At 44.0% G+C, this 26,947-nt stretch overlaps 1 protein-coding gene across 22 annotated transcripts in view, besides 1 other annotated feature; it reads left to right on the top strand.

Moving 5' to 3' along the window:
• Positions 1-26,947, top strand: part of COBL (cordon-bleu WH2 repeat protein) — a 300,598-nt gene that overhangs the window by 251,266 nt on the left and 22,385 nt on the right. For 21 of the 22 annotated variants that reach the window (NM_001346443.2, NM_001346442.2, NM_015198.5 and 18 more), the window contains one exon: positions 21,852-22,161. In NM_001346443.2, coding sequence (NP_001333372.1) covers positions 21,852-22,161 — 310 coding nt within the window. Of the gene's footprint in view, positions 1-94; positions 1,146-21,851; positions 22,162-26,947 lie in introns of those variants that run through there. The other variant, NM_001346444.2, reaches the window with a different exon arrangement.
• Positions 2,295-2,800: an enhancer, noted in NCBI's record as "H3K27ac-H3K4me1 hESC enhancer chr7:51130441-51130946 (GRCh37/hg19 assembly coordinates)". NCBI's record gives its function as "activates a minimal SCP1, AML or CMV promoter by ChIP-STARR-seq in naive H9 embryonic stem cells {active_cell/tissue: H9 hESC(naive)}" and the evidence as "EXISTENCE:reporter gene assay evidence [ECO:0000049][PMID:30033119]".

Here is a 26,947-nt window from a genome sequence, read left to right as displayed (position 1 = left end):
GTAGCCCACCCTAGCCCAACACTGTATGTGAACCACCATTCCTGCGTGCATTCGGCCTCTGCCCTGACTTTGAATTTCCTCCTTGCCCCTACAGTTTATGGAGCAGCTGAAGCTGTGATAAGACTTCTGAGCTTGCTTCTGAATACCACAGCCCCGGGCACAGCAAAGCCAAGAACCCTGTGGATGAGTGAGGGCCGCAGTTCTCTACACAATCCTGAAATCAAGTGTTCCTGTTTCTCTTCCTCCTCCCCATTTCCCCAGTCACTGCTCAGCCTTCTCTTGGGTCTTTCAAGCATTTGTGAATGCATGTGCACACTTAGACACACACACGCACACACACACAACCCATCTTGTGTCTTACCTACCTCTGAAATATTGGCATTTGGGAGACAATCCCTAATCAGCTAACACTTGTTTTTTTCTATCCTCTGTGTGCTTGTTAGAATACTGTGAAGGTGTTTTCTATGGACCGACTTCTAAATGTTCCTCCTGAAATCAGTGTTATTCACACAGTTCTAATGTAATGAATTCTGTCTGTCTGAAAGCTTGCCATATTGTCCCTGGTTTCTCCCAGCTAATAGAGAGGAAAATGAGCCTGAATATGAACCCGTCACCACAGACCGCACTGCATCCTTTCCAGGCAGCAGGGCCCTGGAGACTGTGCTCAGGCCTGGCAGCCTCTGTGTTTCACTTAGGCTTGTTTTGCTCAACCCAGGCAAGACTTTTAAAATTGTTTGAATAAGCTGCAGCATCAGTATGCTTTTTTAAATTGTGATTTAAAAAAAAATATAAAATGTCCCATTCCTTCCATTTTCAAATGCATACTTCAGTAGATTTAAGTATATTCACAATGCTGTGAAACCGATCTCCAGGACCTCATCGTCCTGCAAATCTGATACTCTACTCACTGAACAGCAACTCCCCTTTGCCTGCTTGTCTTTTTGCGCCTGGCTTATTTCACTTAGCACAATTTCCTCGAAGTTTATCCATATTGTAGCATATAACAGAATTCCCTTCCCTTTTAAAGCTAAATATCTTTCAAGTATATGTATAGACCACATTTTCTTTATCCATCCATTGTCAGTGGACATTTAAGTTGTTCCCGCTTCATGGTTATTGTGAATGATGCTGCACAGGTATGCAAATATCTGAGACTCTGCTTTCATTTCTTGGGGATATATACCTAGAAGTGGGATTGCTGGTGAATCCAGCATATCTTTGCCTGAAAAAAAAAAAAAAGCCACTCAAGCTGAGTTAATGCACAGGGATATATATGGGATCCTATACTGCACCTATAGGGGTTGTGTCAGCTCACTTACCCCACATCAGCCACATGCGAGTTCCTGAACCAATCACAGTAGCCAAGGGAGTGCCACACACCCATTGGCTTAGGCCAGAATGCACTGATCAATTGTCAGGGAGAACAGGATTACTGTGTTTGATTGGATAATCAGGGTTCATCTCCCAGACAACCAGGTTGCTCCACAAAGGGGATGGGGCAGAAAGGGTGCTGAGGGTCTTGCACTGTCCAGAGAAGTACATAGCATGGGGCTAGAGCCAGGCTGCATGGACTCAGGGTTTGGGTCTGTTACTGGGTGATTTCAGGCAACTTGCTTAACTTCTCTGTGCCTGAGTTTCTTCATATTGAAAGAAAAAGTGCTTTTGAGAATTACACATACAAATACATGTAGAACATTTAGAAATGTTTCGGGGGCTGCTGGGTTGGAGTCAACAGATCCTAATTATTATGAAAATAGCCATAATTTAAAATGCAGAAGATCGTGCATTAAAATCTTGATTTCTTCTTTTTAAAAAAAGTTAGAGATAAGGCAACACCAGTTTTACTGCATGAAAGGAAGTGTGGGATGCATACTAGCTGCTTCTTGCAGGCACATGTAGGCACCAGGTTTCCTCAGGGTCTTCGTGGGGCCACACCTGGCCCTCAGCCTGCCTCCTACTGCTGTCTGCAGACCTCTGTAGATGGATCAGTGCAGGTTCCCTGATTCAGTCATACTGGAGAAATGAAGTCACTCAAACCCTCATTTTTAAAAAGTCAGAAATATAAAGATTATGTTGTCAAATACTGCACAACCCTTAAAGAAAATGTTAGGCCGGGCACAGTGGCTCACGCCTGTAATCCCAGCACTTTGGGAGGCCGAGGCAGGCGGATCACCTGAGGTCAGGAGTTCGAAGCCAGCCTGGCCAATATGGCAAAACCCCATCTCTACTGAAAATACAAAAATTAGCCGGGCGCGGTGGTGGGTGCCTGTAATCCCAGCTACTCAGGAGGCTGAGGCAGGAGAATTGCTTGAACCCGGGAGGTGGAGGTTGCAGTGCGCCAAGATCACGCCATTGTACTCCAGCCTAGGTGACAGAGTGAGACTTCATCTAAAAAAAAAAAAAAAGAGAGAGAAAATGTTTAATTTTCTACTTCATACAGTCACACAAGTGATGTAGAGCAATTTCTGTCTTCCTTTTTCTTAGGAAGTTTAATAACTGTGCGTATTGCCTTTGACAGAGTGCTGAAGGTGTGCCCCCTACAGCTTATAAAAATGAAGTGCCTGCCCTGCAGTGCAGAGCGTCTCACTGTTTTGGGGGCTGCTGGGTTGGAGTCCTGAGCAAATGCATGTCAAGGACTCAGGACTTCACCGTGGTTGCTCCTGTGTGTGCCCCAGCGCTCTCCACGGGTGTCTCACAGCCTCTTCCAGGACAGCTGAGCCGGGACCAGCAGCCTTGCTCATGCCACCCCCTGCAGACGCAGTCCCTGGTGCTGGCAGGCACGACTCCTGGGATGGCAGGCTGAGAGCTTCCTCAGATGGCACATTGAGCCATGCCCCTGGCTGACAAGGGAAAGATCATTTTCTCCTCCAGCCCCTGCAGATCAGCAAGCGCCCACGTTTCCATGCAATGATGAAACACACAAGTAAATAAGCCATGATGTTGTCTGGGAATGCTTCAGCCAGTGTGGCTGGTCTTAAACTGGTCTAGTTTAGTTGAGACACTTGGAGTGGCCACTTGTTGGCCACTTCAGAGAAACCAGCAGTGTTAATTGGAAGCCTCTCTCCAAGTCTCAGCAGGCCAGCCGAGCGCCGGGACACCATGGCTCTGACTTAAGCCTTTGCCCTGAAGTCATGCTGTGACTCAGGGGCTGACCCAGAGCTTGGGATTATGGAGGCTTTGGAGAAGCAGCTGCACCTTCAAGCAAGTTTCCTTGGATGTATCTCCTGCCACCTCTCACAGACGCAAATTAAAGAGAGAGAGAGAGAGAGAGAGAGACATGAACTGTTGTTACTGCAGCAAACATCCACACTGTATCTGCTGTCAGGGTTGCATCCTGGGAAAGCTAATTTTGTAGACTTAAAGTAATGAATAATTAGACCATTGCTAAATGTATGTTTTATTTTCTGAACAAATTCAAAGCATTAGAAAGATAATGAAGATTTTCTTAAAATTAGGCCTATTTTAACCCTCCCTACTGTTTAGCCCTAATGGAATATTTATTCCAAAATCTCTATTAGTCAGGCTTCTCCAGAGATACAGAACAATAGGATATATTTATGAGTGTGTGTGTGTGTGTGTGTGTGTGTGTGTGTATCTATGGTGGGGAGAGATTTTTTTTTATAGGGATGGCCTTGTGTAATTATAGAAACCAAGAAGTTTGACCATTTGCCATCTGTAAGCTGGAGACCCCGGAAAGCTGGTGATGAGATTCTATCCAAGTCTCAAGGCCCCACAACCTGGAGCTCTGATGCTCAAGCACAGGAGAAGATGGGTGTCCCAGCTCAAACACAGAGAACACATTCACCCTTCCCTGCCTTTTTGTTCTGTTCAGACCCTCAGCAGATAGGATGCCTGCCCACAGCGGTAAGGGCACATCTTCCTTACTGTCTGTCAATTCAGATGCTGATCACTCTGGTAAACAGCCTCACAGACACACCCAGAAATAACGTTTCACCACGTACCCGAACACCCCTTGCTTAGCCATTGCAAATTCACCCCTTGCCAACTCGCCCCCTATATGCATGTCTTTTTCTCCAGAGAAAGACAAAACAAGGTCACAATTCCAACTGGCATGACACTGCTGTCCTGTATACAACCGAAAATGCACTCATCCCTTCCAGAAGAGAAGGTAAAGTCCTTGAGTTGATGTTTACTCTCTCCTGATATCCTGTAACTTAAAATACTATGATGTAAAATTATCAACAATTAGACACTGCTATGGAAGTCGCGTATGTCCCATGTTAAGGGAATAAGGGGAAAGAAAACAAAGATATTTATATGTATATATACATATATACACACACACACACACAAACATATTCTTAACAAAATGAGAAGGAAATACTCATTGACAATTACTGTTTTCATTTCTAAAACTAGTCACATCACAGCTGGTATTTATAATGTCTTCTACCCATTCTGTATTCCCCTTGCCTTCAGCAAGCACCTCAGCTGGTTGTGGTTCTTTACCTGGTGGTGTGATGCAAACCATCATTCCTGAAGGGTCTGGGCCATTAGTGGTACTACCTGGATTGGGTCAGGGTAGTTTTCATTGACCTTCATCGCAGGGCTTACTAAGGGAAGTCCTAAGGGATCTCCTACATCCCATACTGTTCCTTACCTCCATTCTAGAGCAGTAGTCTATTTTCCCCTGGATAGTCTGGGTCAGTCACCCAGCCAACACCATAAACCCCTTCTTCGCCTGTTGACTCAAAAGCCTGAGGAGCCCAGACTGACCATGTGGCATCTTAACTTCCAGTTCGGTGGAATCATTGTTGTGCCCCCTGGTGGAATAATTTGTTTCTCTGGACCTAAGACCCATCGGCCAATAGAACATAAAAGTCATGAGGAAAACGTTTTGCTAGTGGGTCACTAGGGATAATGATGGTGCCACTCCCTTTTTAACCTCTTGATTCCTGGACCCTATGGGAGAAACAGCACCATATATTGGACATCATTCAGAGCATACACAGCCTTCTGGAGAACATCACCCGAGCCCTCTAAGGTACTGCTACCTCTCTGACCCTGTAACTGAGTTTTCAAAAGGCCACTCTACTGTTCTATCAAACCAGCTGCTTCAAGGTAGTGGGGAACTTGGTAAGACCAGTGAGTTCCATGCACAGGCTCATTGCTGCACTCCTTTGGCTGGGAAGCGAGTTCCTTGATCAGAAGCAATGCTCTCTGGAATACCATGACAATGGATAAGGCCTACTGTAAGTCAAGCTACTGATAGTAGTTTTGGCAGAACTTACATTCTGTAAGCTACTGATGGAGAAGCAAGTGGGAAACTTTTCTTCCCAAGAAGTAGTTTCCTGCAGAGATTGCTTTGATAACTGTGAAGAAAATGCAACCTGTTAAGACCTTTCATTGTGAGATCTGGGCTGGTGTTCATGTGCTCAGAGACCTGTGGAGTGTTGGAAAACACCTGGAGGAGGCACTGCTGTCAGACAGCCAGGGTGAAGCGTGTGCACTGAAGACGAGATCAGATCGACTCATGGAGGCATCCGGCAGAGCTTACGGCAGGACCCATGATGAAGGGAGGGCCTGTGGAGGGTTTATTCAAGACAAATCAGGAGCAGATGTCTCCATTTCAATCCTACACAGGCATGGAGGACCACATGCTCCCTGTGAGGGGTGAGATGAGGATTGAACAGTTAGCAAAAAACAGGCCACGTTGGGTAATGCTAAGAAGTAGAAAAACTTCAGATCCCACTGGGACTAGAGAATAGCACATAGAAGGCAATCATCTTGGCTGTATTTCTGGGTGGAGTTAGTGCAAACAGCAGGATGAGGGAACAGTGGCGGGGTAGCTGGGAGACAGTGCCCTCACCAACTCCTCCCTGCCTGGCTCGGACTCATTTATGCGAACAGGGCCAGCCCTCACCCTCCCACCCACCCCTACCTGACCAGGCTTGTTTGATCTACAAACAATCCCAAGGCTTCCTGGGACTCCCTCCTAGAAACCCATGTGTTTCAGGCCCCCCCTTCTCCCTGTTCTCTCCCATTCCTGGGAAAGTTCCCCAAAGCCTTAAGATTGCAGTTTCTGCAGCCCCCACATAATCACATTTGTTCTTTAATTTCCAGTCTTTCTAAAGATCATGACCACTAATGAATGATTATACAGTAAGTCCTCACTTACCATCATCAATAGGTTAGGTTTTTGGAAACCGCAGCTTTATGCAGAACAATAGATAATGAAAGCAGTTTTACCATAGGCCAACTGATAAAAATGAGTTAAGTTCCTAGCATATATTTCTGGTCACCAAAACATCGAAATAAAGACCAAAACACTTCTAAATAAAGACCAAACACTACTAATATTAAACATTGAAATAAATACGAGCTATACATACATTTAAGAAAGATTAATAAAAGCAAGTAATGTGATGATTTACCCAGTTTTTCCAGTTCAGGGTCACAGGTGGCCGCAGCCTACCGTGGCAGCACAGGGGGCAAGGTAGAAGCCAGCCCTGGACTGGCCCCCATCCCATTGCAGGTGCACTTATACTCACCCACATGGGGACAATTCGGACACCCCAGTGACCCTAACATGTGCAGTCTGGGGACATGGGAGGACATGAGCGCAGCCAGAGAAAACCCATGCAGACCTGCCGAGAAGGTGTAATCTGCACAGACAGTAGCCCCGGCCTGGGATAATAAGATGACGCTGAACGAAAGTCGTTGGAGGACCTGCCATTATCAGCCTGTAGGCTGAAAACAGATGGGAATCTCAGCAATCAGACTCGCTCTAACAGCCCACGCTCAGAGGCTCCGGCTGTCCATGCTCTGTCAGGCTTTCCCTGCCTCATCACGCCTCTCCATGAAGCTCCTGAGTGAATGAATACTGTTATTCTTATCCCCGTTTTACAGATGAGAAGCCATAGCCTGTAAGCACTGATTTGCTGGAGGCCACAGTTGAATCCGCACAGTGTCATGTAATTGTTTTGGGGGGTTGTGTTGTTGTTGTTGTTGTTGTTGTTGTTGTTGTTTTGAGACATGGTCTTGCTCTGTCACCCAGGTTGGAGTGCATTAGTGCAATCATAGTTCACTGCAGCCTCGATTTCCCAGGCTCAAGCAGTCCTCCTGCCTCAGCCTCCCAAGTAGCTAGGACTACAAGAACGCTCTACCATGCCTGGATAATTTTTAAAACTTTTTGTAGAGACAGACAGGGTCTCGCTTTGTTGCTGAGGCTGGTCTCACATTCCTGGGCTCAAGTGATCCTCCCACCTCGGCCTCCCAAAGTGCTGGGATTACAGATGCGAGTCACGGTACCCATAATTGTTTAAATTGACACAAAAGATGGAGAAAAATGTGTCTTTAATCTGTTGAGTACAAAGTGCATACATAAACATAGAAGGGCAATGTATCTGATTTTCTTCAAACATTTAAGAAATTTTGTTACGTTTATCCAAAAAGCTTCTAAAAAAAAAAGATTACCAAAAAAAGCAACCTAATGTAAACCATGGTTATCTTGGGGATAAGTGATTATTTTCTTTCCAAATGTTTGTGTTTTCCTTACTTTCTATATGAAAGAAAAAGAAAACAAACTTCATTTTAAAAACTAAAATAATCCTAATTTAAAAACTCTGGTAGAATGTGGTCATAGGAGGGTATCCGTAATAAGAGGAATGGAAGAGGTGAGGTGTGGCCATCTATCCTTTCAGGGCATGGAGGGGAAAATGGGGTCCCTGCCTCGCAAGGGGACAGCATCCAACTTCCAGTCCCTGGGACAGACCCTGAAACCCTAAGGCTGGAGCCCCAGCATCTCATGTAGGTTATTTTGAGTGTTGGTGGGTTTTGCTGAGGTGAGTGTTTTCTGGCCAATAAAGCCAAGTTATTTTGGGCCACCATAATTGTGAGTTAGACAGGTGGTTTGTGTGTGAAACATTTAATTTGCTGGCTGTGTAGTCTGTTGACTTTGGATAAGGCTAGAAACAATTCTATACTAGTTTCCCAAAATGATGGGCCCTGATGCTGATCTTATCACTGTTACAAGCAGACGCACAGTGCCAAGGCAGGCTGGACTACGGGAGGGGAGCTCTAGAGAAAAATCTTGTTACTATTCATTGCTTTTATGCTGACTACTCTACTGTATTTGAGTACCTTTTAAGTATAGTAGTCCCCTGCTTATTCACAGGGGGATATGTTTCAGGACCTTCCATGGATGCCTGAAACCTCAGCACTGAATATATGTGTGTGTGTGTGTGTGTATGTGTGTGCGTGCACGCATATATATATACTGTTTTTTTCCTATGCATACATACCTGTGATAAAGTTTAATTTCTGCATTAGGCACAGTGAGCAACAATGACTAGCAATGAAATAGGACAATTATAACAATATGCCAACATCAGTACTCTTGTGCTTTGGGCCATTATTAAGTACAGTAAGGGCCCCTGAACACAATCTCTGCAACCTTGAGACAGTCCGTCTGAGAACCAAGACCACTGCTAAGTGACTCACAGGCAGGGGAGGAGACAGTGTGGATCCACTGGAAAAAGGGAAGATTCCCATTCATGGTGGGACAGGACAGGATGGCAGATTTCACCAGGCTACTCAGAAGGACACGTGATTCAAAACTGACCAAGTGTTTATTTCTGCAATTGTTCATTTAATATCTTGGTTGATCACAAGTAACAAACTGCAGAAAGCAAAACCTCCAACAAGGAGGGACTACTATGATGGTTTTTGCCGTGTGTGTGTGTGTGTGTGTGTGTGTGTGTGTGTGTGTTGGGAGAGCACTGTATACAAGCATAGTTATTAGTCATTTCGCTTTTCTCCACTCACTTTTAATGGTATGTTAGCATTGTGTGATTTCTAAAAATACTCAGAAGAGAACTCATCTTGGAACAAGCCCCGATTAGAGTATCTTTTCAATATTAAAAGATATGTTTTATTCCTTAGTCCAGAACCAGGTAACAGTTTAAATTAGTCATCTTCACAGTCTTTGCTATTTAATCTGACCCAAACTTCAGGCAATTGATACAAATAACTAATAAGGCAAAAATAACCCAGCTGGCCAGGAAACTGATGCCCTGAGGTTGCAGATGGAGGCACTGATGCAGAGACACCAGACAGGTCATCCTTGGAGACTCAGGTTTCAATGCTGCCATTGATGAGGGCTCATTTCCCCCGGTGACGATACAGGCACCTCTCACTAGCCTTTTGACAGCCTTTTGACACCTGGGATGTAGAGGCTCTTTGCTGCCTCTCCTCTGTTTTCTCCAGCATCTCGGGGTCCCATTTGCTCACACTCAGGCTGTGCCACCCCTACCCTGCTCAGCTCTCCTCCCCCTGCTCTTCCTCATGCCCCCACTTCATCATGCACCCCCCCATATTGTTTCTTTGCTCTTTGTTTTTGACGTAGTTTACAAACATTTGGAATGTGTTTTATTTTTGTAAGTAATTTCCTCATTCTGTCTTTCTGAAACTATTCTATTATAGTTTCCGCAAGTAATTATTTCAGCTCTACTTCTGTCTGAAGAAAAATGACATTTGTAACTTTGTTGAGGGCATTTTGGGACAAGTTCCCATGAAACAGGAGACATGTGAAGAGCACTGAGATGGGAAATGGAATCTGCTAATTTTAGAAAAAGGCAAATACTCCTGCCTTTTGAGAGCAGGGACTGAATGTGACTTTTTAAAACTGGTCGTCCGTTAACTCCAGCGCCTGTTGTTGGAGACAGCTGTCTTTGAACTATTGCAGGGAATAGGTTTCAGTAAGATGACAACAGAAAGCTACATGGGGATACAAAGCTTAAATGTAGGTGGTTCTCACCTGCAGCCCAGTGAGGGGAGAAAGCCGGCTGGCCAGGAACTCTGGGGGAGGTACGAAGGAAGCCCTCCCATGTGTCGCCCAGGCCGGCCGGCCGGCAGCAGCAACACCTGGGAACATGCACCCCTGGGCCCACCCCAGCCCCACTGAATCAGAAACTCATGGGGGTATGGGGTCTGGACAATCTCTATTTTAACAAGCCCTCCAGGGCGTTCTGACACGGGCCAAGTGCAAGACCATCATCTTCTCAGAGAACTTAGGATGTTTATGGACAGCCAGGCAGCTAGGCCCAGCGCCTGTGATAATTTTAGCTACCATTACTGAGCATTGACCCTGTGCCCTGCTAGCTCCTTCATAAGTGCTGTCTCGTTTAATCTTCACTAAGTCCTTAGAGAGAGGAATTCGGCCTTGTGGATGAGGACGTTAAGAGATGAGTTTGAGTTTCCCGCAGCCCTTGAGGGGCTGAGCGCCAAGCTGGAAGGACATGCTATTAGTGCAACAGGAAAGAGTGGCAGTAGCGTGGGCTTTGCGAGTCCAGGAAGGATGCGCGCTGGGGCCCCTGGAGACACCAACCTCATGGAGGAGGGAGGGCCTGAGCCGCCCTTGCGGGAAGATAAGGACTTTCAAGAGGAAAGAGAAGGACTTGTTCTGAGAACTCCGGCTGGGGATGCGTGCAGTAGCCAACCCTGGGGTCATATCTGCAAGTCCTCTTCTCTCTGAACCTGCTCCCTTGGCTCCTAAAAGGCACCCCCTGTCTCCTGGCTCCCCATCTGTCCCCTCAACTCTCCAGGCTGCTCCAGGGAAGAAAGGTTTGGATCCTGGATAGCGGACCACCTTCTCTGCTGAAACGAGGAAGGCTGTGGAAAGGAAACGATGTTTTACATTGAAAGCAAGTTCCGTTTTCTTATATTTCCAGCCATATCATGGGTGATGTGCCCCGAAAACCCCTCCTGCTACCAAGCATCTTGAAAGGCTGGGTTTTCTGTCGTGGACATCATTGTAAATGCGTAGCCAAGCTTTGTGTTGCACAGAAAATGAGAAGGAAATCATAAAACAGAAGCGTGAGGGAGAGCTGAGATGCTGGGGGCTTCTGAGGAGGCTGGGGCTGGTCTTAGTCATCTGGGGCCTCCCTTAGGGGTTCCGAGGGCCCCTGGCCAAGCGGCAGAGAGGAACGGGGCCCACAGCAGTCCCCAGTGCAGGGAGATGCCATGGAGAAAAAACATCAGAAAGTCACTCCTCTCCAGGCCAGGCAGTCAGAAAGGAAAAAAAGTTACAGTAGCTTCAGTTCACCTGAAACATGGCCATCTCCCAACAAGCCCAGCACACATACGAGGAAGGCCCATGAAGAGTCCTTCACCTTCAAGGAGCGTGAAGAGGCCTGCACAGCAAAACGGGAACTGTGGGGCCAACCCAGTGGAAATCTCACAAACTCAGTAGATTTTATAGATGGCAAAATTTAAAAAGCCGTCCATAAGGAAATAAAAGAACTGGCCAAGAAAGAAGTTTGTAATTTATGTGAAAAGAAAAAAAAAGCGAAAAGTTTCCTTTTTATGTGTTCTTTGTTTGTTTGTTTGTTTGATTGATTGAGACAGAGTCTCACTCTGTCCCCTAGGCTGGAGTGCAGTTGCAGCACGATCCCAGCTCACTGCAACCTCTGTCTCCTGGGTTCAAGCAATTCTTCTGCCTCAGCCTCCCGAGTAGCTGGGATTACAGGCACACACCACCACTTCCAGCTAATTTTTATATTTTTTGTAAAGACAGGGTTTCACCATGTTGGCCAGGCTGGTCTCGAAATCCTGACCTCAAGTCATCCACCCACCTCGGCCTCCCAAAGTGCTGGGATTACAGGCGTAAGCCACTGCGCCCAGCCCTTTTTATGTTGTAATTTTTCTTTAAAACAGCTAATAAAATGTTGCATTGCAGAGGAACAGTGACAATTTTGTCTGTTACCACCAACCTCCACTTTTAGGTACAAGGGAAGGAGGAGCAGAGACACAAAGACGAGAAGCTAAGATTGGCCGGGCCCGGCCGAGGGGCCCTGTGCCAGGTGGGGAGGCACCTCTCAGGGGCAGGCGAGGCACAGGGACGGGCGCTTGGGATGACTGACATTACAGGGTGGCATTACAGCACACCCGGACATCTTCTCTGAGTTATAGAAAGTGACCTGTAATATTGTCTGTTCTTCAGCATGCAAGAGACGAGGCTCAGATATCTGGATTCTTAGCTTTTGTCAAAGAATGCTCTTTTCTGTTATTGCACACTAAACGTTGATTATATTATTGAGAATTTACATTGCACAGTGTGCCAGCTTGAGGAGGCCTTCCTGACTGGGTGAGATGCCCTGAACTCCAAGTGCCCATTTGAACGGGGTCAGCCTGGGTCCCTGAGGGCAGCACAGGGCAGGGCACACAGCTTGCCCAGAAGATGCCATCTGCCTGTCAGGCAAGAGGATGGTCTGACTCCTTTCCTCTCTTATCATCCGTAGAGATCTATTTTATTTCTTATTTAAATCACAGTGAATTTCAAAGGGGATTGTAGGCAGCTTTTTGTGTCAGTATTATTCAAATTAGAAAAGTCTAGAAAAAGGAATAATTTTTATTTTAAATGATTGGAAATAAAAATATGTTAATTAATGCTATTTTTGAAATCTACATTTTCCTTAAGTGGTTAGAAGTAAACACTAGGAGAGCTCAGAAATATATGTGCTGGGAAGGGAGAGGGAGAAGGAAATGCAGTTAAAGGCAGCCACAAAGGCACAGCTCGGTCCTGCCTTCTTGGGAAACAAGGCCAAAGGGATCAGAGAGGATGCTGTGTCAAACAGCACTCATTTATTTAATAATTTGGTCATTTTTATATCAAATTTACATCCAGAGTGATAGATGAACAGTGTGTTATGGAAAGCTAAGTAAAAGTAGGCCACATACTTTATTCTCTAGAGTTCTGATGATAAAAGGATAGAAGTTGGAAGAAAGCAGCAGAAGGAGGGATGGCATTTTTCTTAGGTTGCCCATCTCAGATGGTGGCTGCCTCACCTTTGCTTCATAATAGACCCAAAGCATAGTCAATTTGAGATTGAGTCCCTTGGCACCTTGGCAGGTCCCTGAACCTCTCTTTCTGAGGCATTGATTAAATAAAATTTATGTGTTTTAATAGATAGACAACCTGGAGACAGAGTTTCTATTTTGACAATGAAAACTAAGACACCAGCTTTGTTCTTGCCAGCAGGGATGGCCATCCACTGCCCCACACTTCCCTCAAAGGTGAGGCCCCAGAAATGTGTAAAAAAGGACTGAAGGTTTTTGCCTCAAGAAATGGTTTCAAATATGTTGAGATTCCCAGATAAATGGATCCAAGATTTGTTCCATAGAACATGGAAGAAAATCTTTTGGCTTAGAAAAGTCTAAATGCAGATATACTCAGTAGGATTCATGTAACACGTTGGTTAAAGAACCTTAATTTGACTCCTGCCCACCATGTGGGTTTTTTATGAGGTTTGAATGAACTTGCCCTTTTTATAAGCTGAGCAGAGTGTTTCTGCAACACACACCCTCAGGGATAGGTGACATAATTTGTTGGTTGGGGCTTCTTGTATAATTTGCAAAATAGGAATAATAATAATATCCACACTACAGGGGGCATGTGGACTAAATAAGGAGGTAGGTAAATATTATCCATTTGAACACTGCAGAATGTCAAAACCCAATTACCGTTATGTGGTTTGCAAATATCAGTGTTGAGCTGTACTGTCTGATAGTAAATTAGCCAATAGTGTAATACTTTAGACTACTCTTAAAGCCCATGACAGTGGCATAGAGAAGGAATCCTGTTTAACTATTGGCTTAAAAACAACAACAACAAAAAGCACATTACAATAAAATGAAACTTCAGTTTCAGGGTAGCTGAACTGATTCTAAGCATCATCAGCCAAAGCCAGCATTGTGGCTACAGAGAAAAACTGGCCACCCTATCCAGATGGAATCCTTGCCCCGGAATGCAAGCGTCCGTCTCTGTCCCTGTGGAACTTCACTTAGTCCAGTCCTGGTTCATGCACCGCACCCATGACTGTTGTTGATAGGCTTTCTGATCCATAGTAAGGAAACAGGAATATTCACGTGCGGCAAAGAAATTCACTCCGTACCATCGCTGATACCCCCATTTAAACACAGGAAAGACAGCCAAGAGTTGGTAGACAATTTTGTTTTTAATGCATGAAAGAAGGACAACAAAGTGGTCAGAGAAATTTACTCCAAAGGAAGTAGAGTTAAGTTAGGAAATAGAACAGAACTTTAAAATAAATACTTTTAGTCATTGCCTCAGAAAATTTCAGTAGATCATCACATAAAACAAGAGCAGGCTATTATTGAAAAACAAATAAGCATCAAAACATTCTTGGAAATTAAATACACATCTTTAGAAATGTGCACATTTAGACACATTCAGGTAAAAATTTTAAAAATCCACAGATAAAATTTTACTAGCTTCTAGAGAGGGATTATATATAGCTATAAACAAATCATGTGAACATATGCCTTCTCATCTATGACACAAGATGCTAGAAAACAGAGAAGCGGAGAAGACAGTCTTAAAGAAGAAGGATTTTCATCTGAATCTTCCTTTGGTTTAGCCATATACTGGTAGTCAAGGATAACAAGTAAATGGAGCCAGCCTTCAGACGCAAGAGAGCTTCGAGAGTATACCCTCCTAAGTTAGATTATACTCAAGTGTATAATCCAAATAACGGAAAATAAATCTAGGAAAGGGAAAGACATATATGTAGCTGTCCAATTTAATATGTAATTTAATATAAAATAATGGTTCCTATAATAGAAATACCATAATGTTACATAGATATATGTGCAAAATAAAGGAAATTTAGACATTTATTAGACAAGACTCCTCAGTTCTCAGAAACAGAAGTATGTCTTGACCAGTTATGCATAATTGGGTTTTGTGGCGATTTTTTAGCTCACATAACTGGCACTTCCAAGAGACTAATCTTTATTATGGGCATGGTTGGGGCCAGGAGCTGAAACATTGTCTTAGAACTATGTTCCTCTGCAGTCCGTGGATAAGTTCTTCCCTGTGCTGGTTAAAATGGCAGCCATTTATCCAAAACTTGTACCCAATCCATTTATTCCAGCCCGATTGGACCATCTTCCTGAACACCTCTGGTGGAAAGGTTCTGAGAAGGACTTTGATTGGTCCAGCATGGAACACATACTCATCTTTGGATATAACATTGTCCTAGGGAAATAGTTAGGGGCAGATAGTCTCACCCAGATATGATAAATTGGTTACCTGCAAGAGGACAGAATTCTTTTAACACAAACAGAGTGAGAGTGGTGGGCAGAGAAAAACAGCAGCTGTTTATTATATGTTTTTAAAAGAACAGCAGTTGGAACACAGCTCTGTGTTACAGTGGAATAACTTGGAATTTTCTCTGCCCAGGGACTCTAATAGGCACGTTAAGATTCTAGGACTAGAGTTTGGTTCAGGTAGTGAAGAAATAGGAGCTGACTGATACCAAGAATACATCACTTGACTCTTAAGAGAATCCAGGTCTAATTTTAGATCCATAAATGTTTTTCAGTCCTTCATTATCTTGCCTTCTTGAAAAGATAAAAATGTGTGTGTGTGTATATAGTAGTGCTCTGGAGTCAACTGATTACCTTCATCATGCAGTGTCTTTGAGGAGCCCAGGTCTATGGGATTTTTGACAAGAGCATTAATATAAAACGTTATTAAATAGTGCCCATCAAACTAAAGAGGCTGTGATTTTGACAAGGAATGAACAGGCAAACTTCACTTGGAGGAAACTGTGCCTAGGAAATCAATTAGAGAAAAAGAGGGGAACAAAGTTTGAGGTGCCTACTCAGAGCAGAATCTATATAATGCTGGTGGCAGAGGGTCTCTCAAAGGCGAATCCTAAACCCAGCCTCTCCAAACCGTGCCTCCTGAACATTTGCACACCCGTGTGTGCACACAGACACTAGGGATTCCAACCACTCAACAGTATTTGATGTTTCTCATGCAGCCTGGCATTTCTCTGCTTTTTCCCATCTTTTGACCCAACTGTCCTCTACCTGCCAAAATCATGCTTGTGTTCAGACGCAGTCCAATGGTCACTTTCCTGTGTCCTCTAATTAGAATGAGTGACCCCACTTCTGTATTCCTGTGGTATTGTCCATGAATCCCACCTTCGCAACTCTTAAATTGACTGAAATGTATTGTGTACATTGGTGGGTTTAAACTGGGTACACGTTCTTCTGGGAGAATCAGGACTTTCCAAGGGAATCCACTTCCAAATGTTATACCTCCACATGTATTCTTTCCTGGAATTCATGTGCCTGAGAACTCACCTGTGACCAGCATCATTCCAAGTCTTTTTCCCCAATGCCAGTTTTACAGATGCCCTCCTTCTCCTTCATAAAAGACAGACATACCCCTCACCCATCAGGAAACTCACTGGGGTGCACTTTCCTGAGATGGGCAAACCTTATTCCTGATCTCAAACAAAAGAACAAATGGAAATATTGGTATAAGATCAAGCAGATAAATTAATGAGTTGGTGGCGAATCTTTTTGAACATCAGGTGGTTTCCCAATTTTTCTTTCCAACCAAATTGACAAAGGATCTAACTGAGTTGTCAGATTATAGATCATTAAGCATAATTTTTGTGACAGATTAATGAAGTGATTTTTGACATATATTAGAGGAAAAGTTTTAGAAACCTAATGGAATGATGTAACCATAACAAAAGTCCCTTAATTTACCTTCGTATGTGACAAGCTTTGCCTAGTGCTTATATCTATAAGAGGAAAAGTAGACCTGAATTTATGCCAAACCCTGCCTCATGCTAGCAATAAGTAATCCAGTCATTTTTAAGGAATTAATTGAAAAAGCCTCACTCACTTATGAAATGCAGTTCCAAATGATATTTTACCATTTTGCTTAAGAAATGTCAAAGTTTCTAAGAACATTTATGTAATTTTGGTTGGCTGTTTTCTATTAGCACAAGGATAAACAATATAAAAAGGAATTTAATACAACTTGCTTATGGTGAGGGAAAATGAAAATTACATTTTAACTTAGATACATATTCTATACAAAGAGGCTTGATGAATAAAAAAAAAAACTCAAGCATAAAGTACATTCAGTTAGGATAAGATTCTGTTAGGTAGTGAAATGGAAATAAGTTCAAGGAAGAAGAGACATGCTCTAAAATTCTGCCTGTTAAAGGAAGAACTCATTTACTAATTTTTACGTGGAGGGGCCTGGGCATGAAAATACTATGATATCCAGATTCCTTTGTTTATATTTTTAAATGGCAAAATATTTTTGCCATTGTAAATGGCAATTTACAATTAATTTAGTTGTAAATGGCATATTAAACAGTAATACAATTTAAAAAATTACAATATTTTTAAATTGTAAAATATTAGTATTTATAACACAATTAAAATGTACATCTGTTGCAACCAACTGAACTCATGATGGAAATTTTCAGACGTCAATGAAAAATGGAAGGAGATGCATGATTGTTCAAAATTATTTGGAGGGATATGCCAAAAAATTATTTCTATTTATTTATTTATTTATTTTTGAGATGGAGTCTTGCTCTGTCGCCCAGGCTGGAGTGCAGTGGTGTGATCTCGGCTCACTGCAGCCTCCGCCTCTCAGGTTCAAGCAATTCTCTGCCTCAACTTCCCGAGTAGCTGGGATTACAGGTGTGCACCACCACACCTCGCTATTTTTTGTATTTTTAGTAGAGACAAGGTTTTGCCATGTTGGCCACGCTGGTCTCGAACTCCTGGCCTCAAGTGATCCGCCCACGTCAGCCTCCCAACGTGCTGGGATTACAGGTGTGAGCCACTGCACCTGGCCCCCACAAAATTATTGAAATGCTTTATGTCAGTTTGTATCACTAGTTCAGAAGCACTTTACCTTGTAATTTTTCCCTTTCTTCCAAGTGCCTAGAACATAGAGAACAAAGTCAACACAGGTTAAGATGAAGTGCAGCTTTGCTTGTTGGTTGTGAGTGGCCGTGGGACCCACAGGCAGCAGTGTGAGGTGGCGAGGTAGCTTTTCTTTCATTGAAACATTTTCTCTGGGCCATATAAATTTGGTGGAACTGGCTTTTGAGAAATCCTCTTTCTTAATGAACCACAAAAAAAGCAATATCATAGGACACAAGATCTTTAATTTGCGTTTAATAAAACAATAAAATGAATCCATTCCAAAATTACTTGGAAGATACTTACATTTAGTGATGGAATTATCTTTGCTGACTCTGTAAAAGAAAAACTAGTACCGAACTGAGAATAATTGTGTTCAACTTGAGGAACTAGTAGCCCTAAGTTAGCATTTTCTTCTTTATACTTGAGCTGAAGAATTTACCAAAGCTCATTCAGAGATATGTAATGGCCTCTGAACCATGGGATTATATAATTTAGGTGGAGGACAATAGAAGGGTTAATATTCCTTACTCAGGCTCTGTGGCTATTCATTTAGAAGAGAATTAAATCATGAATTTATATTAGGCTTCTGCGAAAGACAAAGTAAGTGTGCTTTTTCACATTTGCAAAAATCCTGCAGTAATAACTTTTTAGTTCAAAGAGATTGTTCATGCCTTAAGAGAATAGCAAAGTTGCCAGTGCATTAATTAACTCAAAAATAATGACTTACCCTCTCAGGGAAGACAGAATATAGCAGAAAGGACAAAGCCAATGTTGTATTCCTTTTAAAGATTCCTAATTAGTCACTGGTCAGTTGTAAAAATGAGTGTTTACATCCTATATTTTGATTTGGCATTTCAAAGACTGTTAACAGTTCCACTCTAGAAGGGATTTTAGAGCCCGTCAGAGCCAACTGCTTATTTTACAGAAAGGGGAAAGGGGATTGTTCAGAGTGCAATTTGGGCTTTCAATTCAGCCCTCCTCCTGCTGCCCCTGGGTTTCAGGCTGGGGTCCCTGGATCGCTGGCTCTAGGGAAGCCCCTCAGAGGCTGGACAGAGGGTGGGAAATGGGACACACACAGGATCTGGAGGACAGGACCTGGGCCCCCAACCTCGATGCAGCCCAAGCAGCTCCACGTTTTCCTTTTATGTTCTGAGTTTCCGTTTAGCATTGATGAAGAAAAAAAAAGTCTCCTGCACCATTATCTCATTCAGAAATTGTCAAAACATGTTACAGTTCATGGGGTTAATCATCGGAACCAGCTGAAGGAAGAAAAGAGATGTGGGGTGGGGGCAGGATGAGTGAGATGGGCATGTCTGATTCCAAACAAAAGATGCCCAGGACAGAGCAGACCTCGGAAAGGAGGGATCAGAAATTGCCTGAAAACTCACACCAACACAGGTTGGGGCTTCACAGGAATATCTGCCCTTCTCTTCAGATCTGTGCTCTCTCTGACAGCTCACCAGGAAGCTTCTCTGGAAAGTTCCCCACTCAGCCTCCATCACCCTCCTCAAAGCCTTTGCAGGTGCTCCCCCTTGGCCACACCCTGCCCCACCCTATACTCCGAGCAGGTGCCGGCATCACTGTGGGGAGGTCTGCCTGGTCTTTCCTGGACGGGTCCCACCCCTTTGGCAGAAGGCCTTTCACCCATGTTCCCTCTCCTCCCAGCATTTAGACAGTTGTCTTTTCAATTCCTGTGCCACTCTTCTCCCTAGACGCAGATAAACCTCCTGAGAGCAGGCCCCCCCACCCCCACCTGCTTCTGCACCAATGGCATGAATGGTGTCGCAGGGCTGTGGCCAGGCCACACGGGCCATGGGAAGATTATCCACATGGAGAGCAGGAGGGCTGGCCTGGGCAAAAGGGGAGCTCTGGTAATAGCACTCGCATTAGTCATTTTGTAAATGGTTTAACACGTGTGTGCACCAAATATGTGACCTCTCACTCCATGTTGATTTAAGGCTTTGCAGGTGGCTTAATTTAGACCACAGGCTCTCAACTTTTTTTTATTGCCTCAAAACTTCTGAGGAATATATATGTATCACCCGACAAGCATTCCTGATCTTATAACTGGCTAGAGAAGGGGTGGAGGTGGGTTAGAGTCCCTCTGCCCTGCGATGTGTTCTGTGCCTCCAGAGGGCATGTACCAGGTGCTCTGAGGGCCTCCTCCAAGGGGCCTGGCAGCAGACAGCTAGTGGGGACACATTTGTTAAGGTCACTTTGCGCCTCAGCGATAATCCCTGGAGAGGGAAGAGGGTAAGCCAGGCTAAACCAGCATTTGTGTGGCCCCTACTGTGTGCCACCACCTCGCTCAGTCCAGCCTGCCACACTCTGCCTATGGGAGCACACCGAGAGTTGGTGTGACCATACAGCACTGTCATTCTTTGCGTACGTGTCTGTCCCTTCAGAAGCTGTGAGTGCCAGAGAGCCCACATGCTTGGATTGGAAATATGTGTCCCCAGGCCCTGTCACAGGGCCGTTCACATTCAGGCACCCACTTAGCAACAGGGACCCTGTGGGCAGCAGCATTACCTTACTCCACCAGGGTGTGAATCCAGGTCTCTGTGACCTGAGAGTTTTACTCTTGTCATACTTTTTATATACAACATAGACAGAAAAAACGTGCTGGTTTTATTGTTCAGTGATGGCAGCAAAAGGGAAGGCAAGAGAGGAGTGATGGGAAACAGGGAGCTACAGCGACGTTTCTTCTCAATATTTGTCTTGAACAAGAGTCTAGCCCCAAAAGCTGGGGAGAGAACTAGAAGAGCGAGGTCGCAGCAGACCAGCATCACTGCATTCAGCATATCTCCTCGTACGTTTACACTGCTCTAAACTATTCCTTTTTTTCGTTCTATTCTTTACCTTGGAGCTCTTTAGTGAAATGTATATTCTTTAAACTGTTGTTCTTTCATTTGTTTTATTGTTTGGAATCTCAAATATACCATCACCTGATGGGATTTTCTTTTGGTTTCGTGGTGATAAGTTGTTAGTCTCCTGTCCAGTTAAAATGTTGGTGATGTTGAGTGCAATTGTGATGTCACTTCACTCTCAGTGCATGATTTTGTGGAGTGAGCACTCCCAGAGGAGTCTTAATTCACTTTGGGCATCCAGTGACTATTTAGGGGAAGAATGACTTTAAAACAAAATACACTGGGACTGCAACAAAACACAGTGCTTGTTTTCTGGACTGTTATAAATAGTGCTTAGATCATATGTCCTGAAGTGTCTTGAAGTTTAAAATCTATTTTTATTAAAAAACAATAACAACTCTAATATACATCTGGGCTAGACTTGTGTGTTTTTGTCCTTCAAATTTCATCTCTTTGCATAGAGGCTTCTGTGATTTTAGAGAATCTAGAAGCTCAGTAAGAGAAAAATAATGACCTCCCATTACTTACACTTAATGTATTGCTATCTACAAATAGCTAGGTAGTTGCGCAGAATAGCCATAGTGCTACCCATCATTAGTATTAAGGCTTGACAGAACTTGGCTTGGAGAGCAAGTTGCCACTCTATGCATCTCACCAAACTCCTGCAGCGAATCACATTTAGTGCATAGGAGCCAGGTAACCTCAACCACAGAAACTGGCCTCACATGTAAAAATTAAGGGAGAGCCAAAAGCTGGGGAGTAGGGCCGTGAATCTTCCAGGCCAGATTTCAAATATGAAATACACGTCAGATGTGTCCAAACTGATACTTATGTCTGCTTATTTATATTTCCAAAAACTCTAATTGTCTTAATGTTTTTCTAAAGATCTCACATTAAACAAGTTCCATTAAGCCAAAGGCCAGCCTAGAAACAATTGCATTCAACATGTCATTAGTTTGAATTTTTAAATGTGCTTGCCCATAGCCATAGAGAGGAGACCAATGTAAAAGGCTAATTAATCAAATACTGATTTTTGAGGGAAAATTTTGCCCTCAATCTTACACAAATGACTCCCTGTGAGTTAAAATGTTTCAGGAGTATTCAGCAGTATTTGAATGAGGTTCTTCCTTTACTTTGAGCACCCTGAATCCCAAATTTTAGAGCGGGGCCGACAGACTGATGTCACACTTGTTAGGCAGTATGGACGCCAGAGTGGTTTGGGCTGACCTGTCCTTGCCGTGTCTTGTCCAGTAAGCCTGCCCCTGGGGTCTGGCAGCCACTGCAGCCCGGATGGAGCCCCGCAGGTGCTGTCAGAGGCGGAGGAGACCGTGTCAGTTGGCAGCTGTTTTGCGTCGGAGGACACGACCGAGGACTCAGGAGTGATGAGTTCCCCCTCAGACATCGTCTCTCTGGACTCGCAGCAGGACAGCATGAAATACAAAGACAAGTGGGCCACAGACCAGGAAGACTGCAGTGACCAGGACCTCGCTGGAACCCCAGACCTGGGTCCCCAGAAGAGCCCCTTGTGGGAGAAGAATGGCTCTGAGAACTCACATCTGAGGTGAGTCACGGGAAGGATGGGTGGGTACGGAAGTCACAGCCACATCTGTGTCTCTAAAGAGGGTCTTTTGTCATGGGATCCAACACGTGCTATCACAACCTGCTCTGCACCAGGGGCCCCGACCCTGATTCACAGCAGCTGCTCTCAGGCATGTCTCTGTGCTGTCTATACATCTGCAGTAACTTACAAAGACTGTGTAAGAGTGGCTTGTTTGCTTTGGTACCATACCCTTAAGTATATTTTTCTACTCAATATCATGTTTGTAAGATTTATCCATGATGATATCTGTGTTGTTCATTCATTTATTTACCTGTTTTCCTGATAATGAACACTTAGATTGTTCTAGTTTTTCAGGGCTAGAAACAATGAGCAAGAAACATATGTCTCTATTTACATGTAGAGACTTTTCTAGAAGAGGAAAGTGACAGGAAAGAGACTCATCTTCAGCTTTATGGGATACCTGAAATGCTTATGCAGTTGGCGGGCCCCCCAGTGTCTGCAAGGTCCCCTTGTTGCACACCGATGCCAGTGATTAAGGTCAGTAGACATCTTGAGCTTTGCCAGCATGTAGGCGTCAGATGGCATCTCATGTAGCTTTCATTTACATTTCTCTGATTAGGAAGGATGAGCATCTTGTCATATATTCATTAGCAATTTGGGCCTTATATTGGATTAATTGCCGTTTCATAGCCTTTGCTCTTTTAAAAAACATGCCACGTTTGGCCTGGCATGGTGGCTCATGCCCGTAATCCCAACATTTTGAGAGGCTGAAACAGGAGGATTGCTTGAGCCCAGGAGTTCAAGACCAGCATGGTCAATATAGTGAGACCTTTTCTCTACAAAAAAAATTTAAAAATTAGCTGAGTGTGGTAGCATGTGCCTGTAGTCCCAGCTACTCTGGAGGCTGAGATGGGAGGATTGCTTGAGCCCAGGAGGTGAAGGTTGCAGTGAGTTGAGATTGTACCACTATACTCCATCCTGGGCAATAGAACAAGACTCAGTCTCAAAAAGAATTGAATTAAATTAAACATTGTTATGTTTACTTTTTTTGATTATTAAATTCTCCTTTGTCAGTTATTTACACATGGAACATTTCTAAGCCTGTGGCTTGAACTTAATTAATGTTTTCTTTTCTTGTACAATGATTGTCTTTACATTCTAATATTATTTAATTTTTCCTTTTTCTCTCAGATGTATATAATCTTTGCCTATTTAAGAGATCCTTCCCGTACCCTAAAAGACTAAAGATAGTCTGAATTTCTTGTAAAACTGCTCTCTCACATTTGGGCCCTCTTGTACCTGGGGTTTATTTTTGGGTGTGATATGAAGAAGGATCTATTTTTTCCCACTGATTCCTGTCCCCACTATGGTCAGACATCAAGTGTCCATGTGCACGTTGTTCTGTTCCAGTGCTCTTTTTGTAGCACTGGTGTATTTGTCCATCTCTGTACCAACACCACACTGTCAGGATTCCTTTCTTTATTATATAGAAAGGCATATTGATTCTCTTCAGCCCGCCAATGTTTTTCGTCTTTTAGATAAGTGTAAGAACTCATCAAATAAATATTATGGAAATGTTAACAGAAATAAGGTAAAATGGGCTGGGTGCAGCGGCTCAAGCCTATAATCCCAGCACTTTGGGAGGCTCAGGTGGGCGGATCACCTGAGGTCAGGAGTTCAAGACCTGCCTGGCCAACATGGTGAAACCTCATCTCTACTAAAAATACAAAAATTGGCTGGGTGTGGTGGCACTTGCCTGTAGTCCCAGCTGCTTGGGAGGCTGAGGCAAGAGAATCGCTTGAACACTGGAGGCAGAGGTTGCAGTGAACCGAGATCGCGCCATTGCATTCCTGCCTGGGTGACAGAGTGAGACTCTGTCTCAAAAAAAAAAAAAAAAAAAAAAAGGAAAGAAATAAGGTAAACTGATTTAAAGAAATAGTTCATAAGCCAGTCACCAAAATGAATGAATGCTTTTATAATATATTTTTCAGGTTTTGTTCCAACCCTATTCATATGAACTCACAAATCTGTATCTGGTTAGTGTAATTGTCTTATCAATAATACTTTATATTTCTTTGTACCTAACAGTTTGTCATGAGCACTTCCCCATGTTGTTATACACATCCCTAATAATGTTAAAGTATAGCTCTTCAATTCTTAGGATGACTCCAAGACCAAGTTTATATTTCATCAGAAAGGAAATTCAAAGGCAGCAACTGGTTCCTTCCTGCCTACCCCACACAAGATGCATTTTGCTGAGGTTGGCCTGTGTTGTTTACATCTGTGAGAACAGAGCAAAATTATGGCATTTTTCCTTTTAGTCATTTAACATAAAGAAAAACCACTTTCTACTGTAATCTCCACGTCTGTTCTGCAGTTTGCATGGGGATTGCACAGGTTTGCATTCCACATCTGAAACTAATCAGACATGCGTTACTCTGCACCCCGCGGGATGCTGCGCATAGGACTCATTGTTTGCTTTGCTGGTGCTGACCGTTGATGTAAAATCTTGCTGATTTCTATCCAAATAATGAGGGTTAATATTGACTATGGCCACAGCCAGAATAATCATTGAGTCTTTGGAACCTGATGCTTTATGCAAACAGGGAATATGGCGTGTTTTCCTGCCCTCATCTCTGGGGTGCCACTGAATTTGAGAGTACTGTGGTGGGGAGGGAGGGAGTTCGGGAACCTGATAGACCTACAATGGAATCTTACCACCACTAACTAGCTGTTTGGCCTTTAAGAGTCCACTTAATTTTGCCAAACATTACCTTTTGATCATACACAGTGCAGATATGCCACCTATCTATCAGAGTTGTCATGAGCCTGGGAAAAGCCCAGCACAGATGATACCATGCATGTTGCATATATAATAAGTAGTACCCATTGTCAGAACTACTGCCCTTAGTTTTTAGGAAATGGGGGCACCATGAATTGCCCTGGACAATCACTTTCCTTCACTGGGATGTGGTCAGCTCATCAGTCAGATGAGGATGAAGATGCTCTTTGAGTCCCTCAGCCCTGTCTGTGATGCTGGGTTATTTGCCAAAGAGTTGGGATTGACTCTGCCCTTGCATGGAATTACTATAGTTTTGTGTGTGTGTGTGTGTGTTTTTGAGGGGAGGGGGGATTTCATAGAATGAATCTAGTTTTTTGGGCACCATTTTGAGGTTTTTTTTTTTTTTTTAACAGAAATTATCTCAACTGACAAATTAGACATATTCAGAGATTTCAGCATGGTATATCACATTTTTTCCCAAATACATGATTTTCAATAAATTTCAGGATTACTTAAAAGCAGTGCCTCCCATGCAATGCAGGGGTTGCAAATATGGATGCTTTAGGGGTAAGGCAGGGGTTAGGCGAGGTTGAGGGAGGCTCAGCTGGTGAGAGATCACAGGCAGTGTGGAAAACACATGCTTTCTCTAAAGAGAGCAGCCCTGCTCCCTCTGTCCAACTGTCACCCTGTGGGTTACAGACCCAGTGTGGCCAGTTTTTGAAGAGAAGCCAGAAATCTAGATTTTTATGTGATGTCTCTCAAATTGTAAATGTTGGCAACCAATTCAGGCACTCAGGGTGAAACGGAACACATATGCAAGCTGGATGTGGCCTGTTCCCAGACTTACACCCTCCTGAGGACTGAAGGCTGCATCGATTGTTGCACTTCTCTTTGGGAGAAACAAGATTACTTTGCTTGCCTATTTGTCAGCTTTGGAATACACTTGTCGCTACTGAAGTATTCCCTGTGCTATATTGCTTGAAAAATATCGATTCACACATAAGGTTGGGAACGTAGAGAGAATCTGCCTCTTTTGATGAAAATAGTGTGTTCCAGGGACAGGCTTGGCATTCACATCTGGAGTGAACCCTGTCGAAAGCCTAGGCAGCACAGGGGTGGTAAAGGCAGGGCTGGCAGGGAGCTGCCCAGGCAGCAGAACTCAGGTGTGGCCCGATGGAGCAGGCCTGTCAGGTGGTCACGATCCCTACAGTGAGGACCCATGCCTGGGGGCTGACAGCCCAGACTCAAGGTGAACTTGTGAGAGCGCAGAACCCACCACTGTTCACAGGGATGTGGCCCTAACCTTGGCCACCTGCACAGAGGAACCCTATTAGAACACTAAACAGCAGCATCCATGTTCAGACTCTGGCGGTTGAGAGAAACAATAGCAAAGAGGAGGTTTTCTGACAGGCAGTGTGAGCAAAAGCCTGGCAGAGCGTCCCTAGTTGGCACCTCAAGCTCCTCTTTCATTGTGCCCCTGAAACATATACCCAACACCACCTTGATCAAGAGGAGGCTGCCCAGAGAGGGCATGATCACCGTTCCTGGTGCCCTGTGCCTGGTCCCTGAGTCGAGCCTCCTGGCCCTACCCTGGATGACCCCCTATACCTGGTTTCCACAACTCATCCTGAGCTGCCCATTTGTGCTCCCAGAACCCGTGTTTGTCTTACATGGCAAACGACAAAGATGTAGGACCTAGCTGTGACATGAGCCCTCTCCATCCCCTCTGAATGACAGGCCTTGGGGCTCAGGCAAAGCAGAAGTCACCCTCTGTCTGGCTGGCAAGGCCAGGCCTCTAGGCTGAGAGTGGAGTTGGATAGGTTGTGAAGCTGTCCCTGATAGCCCCAGACATCTTCAGCTTGCAGAAAGTCTCTGCAGTAGTCCCAGTCATCAAGAAAATGAGGATTTCTCATAGTTTATCAACTTGGCCAAGGTGGTGTCTTCTATTGCTACCCCTCTGTTACTTGGGTATTCACTAAACACGGTTTGGGAACAGCCTTAAGA

The sequence above is a fragment of the Homo sapiens genome, chromosome 7, assembly GCF_000001405.40.
Source record: "Homo sapiens chromosome 7, GRCh38.p14 Primary Assembly".
Lineage (NCBI taxonomy): Eukaryota > Metazoa > Chordata > Mammalia > Primates > Hominidae > Homo > Homo sapiens.
Note: the sequence above shows the minus strand (reverse complement) of the source record. Positions and strands in the feature narration are given on the sequence as shown.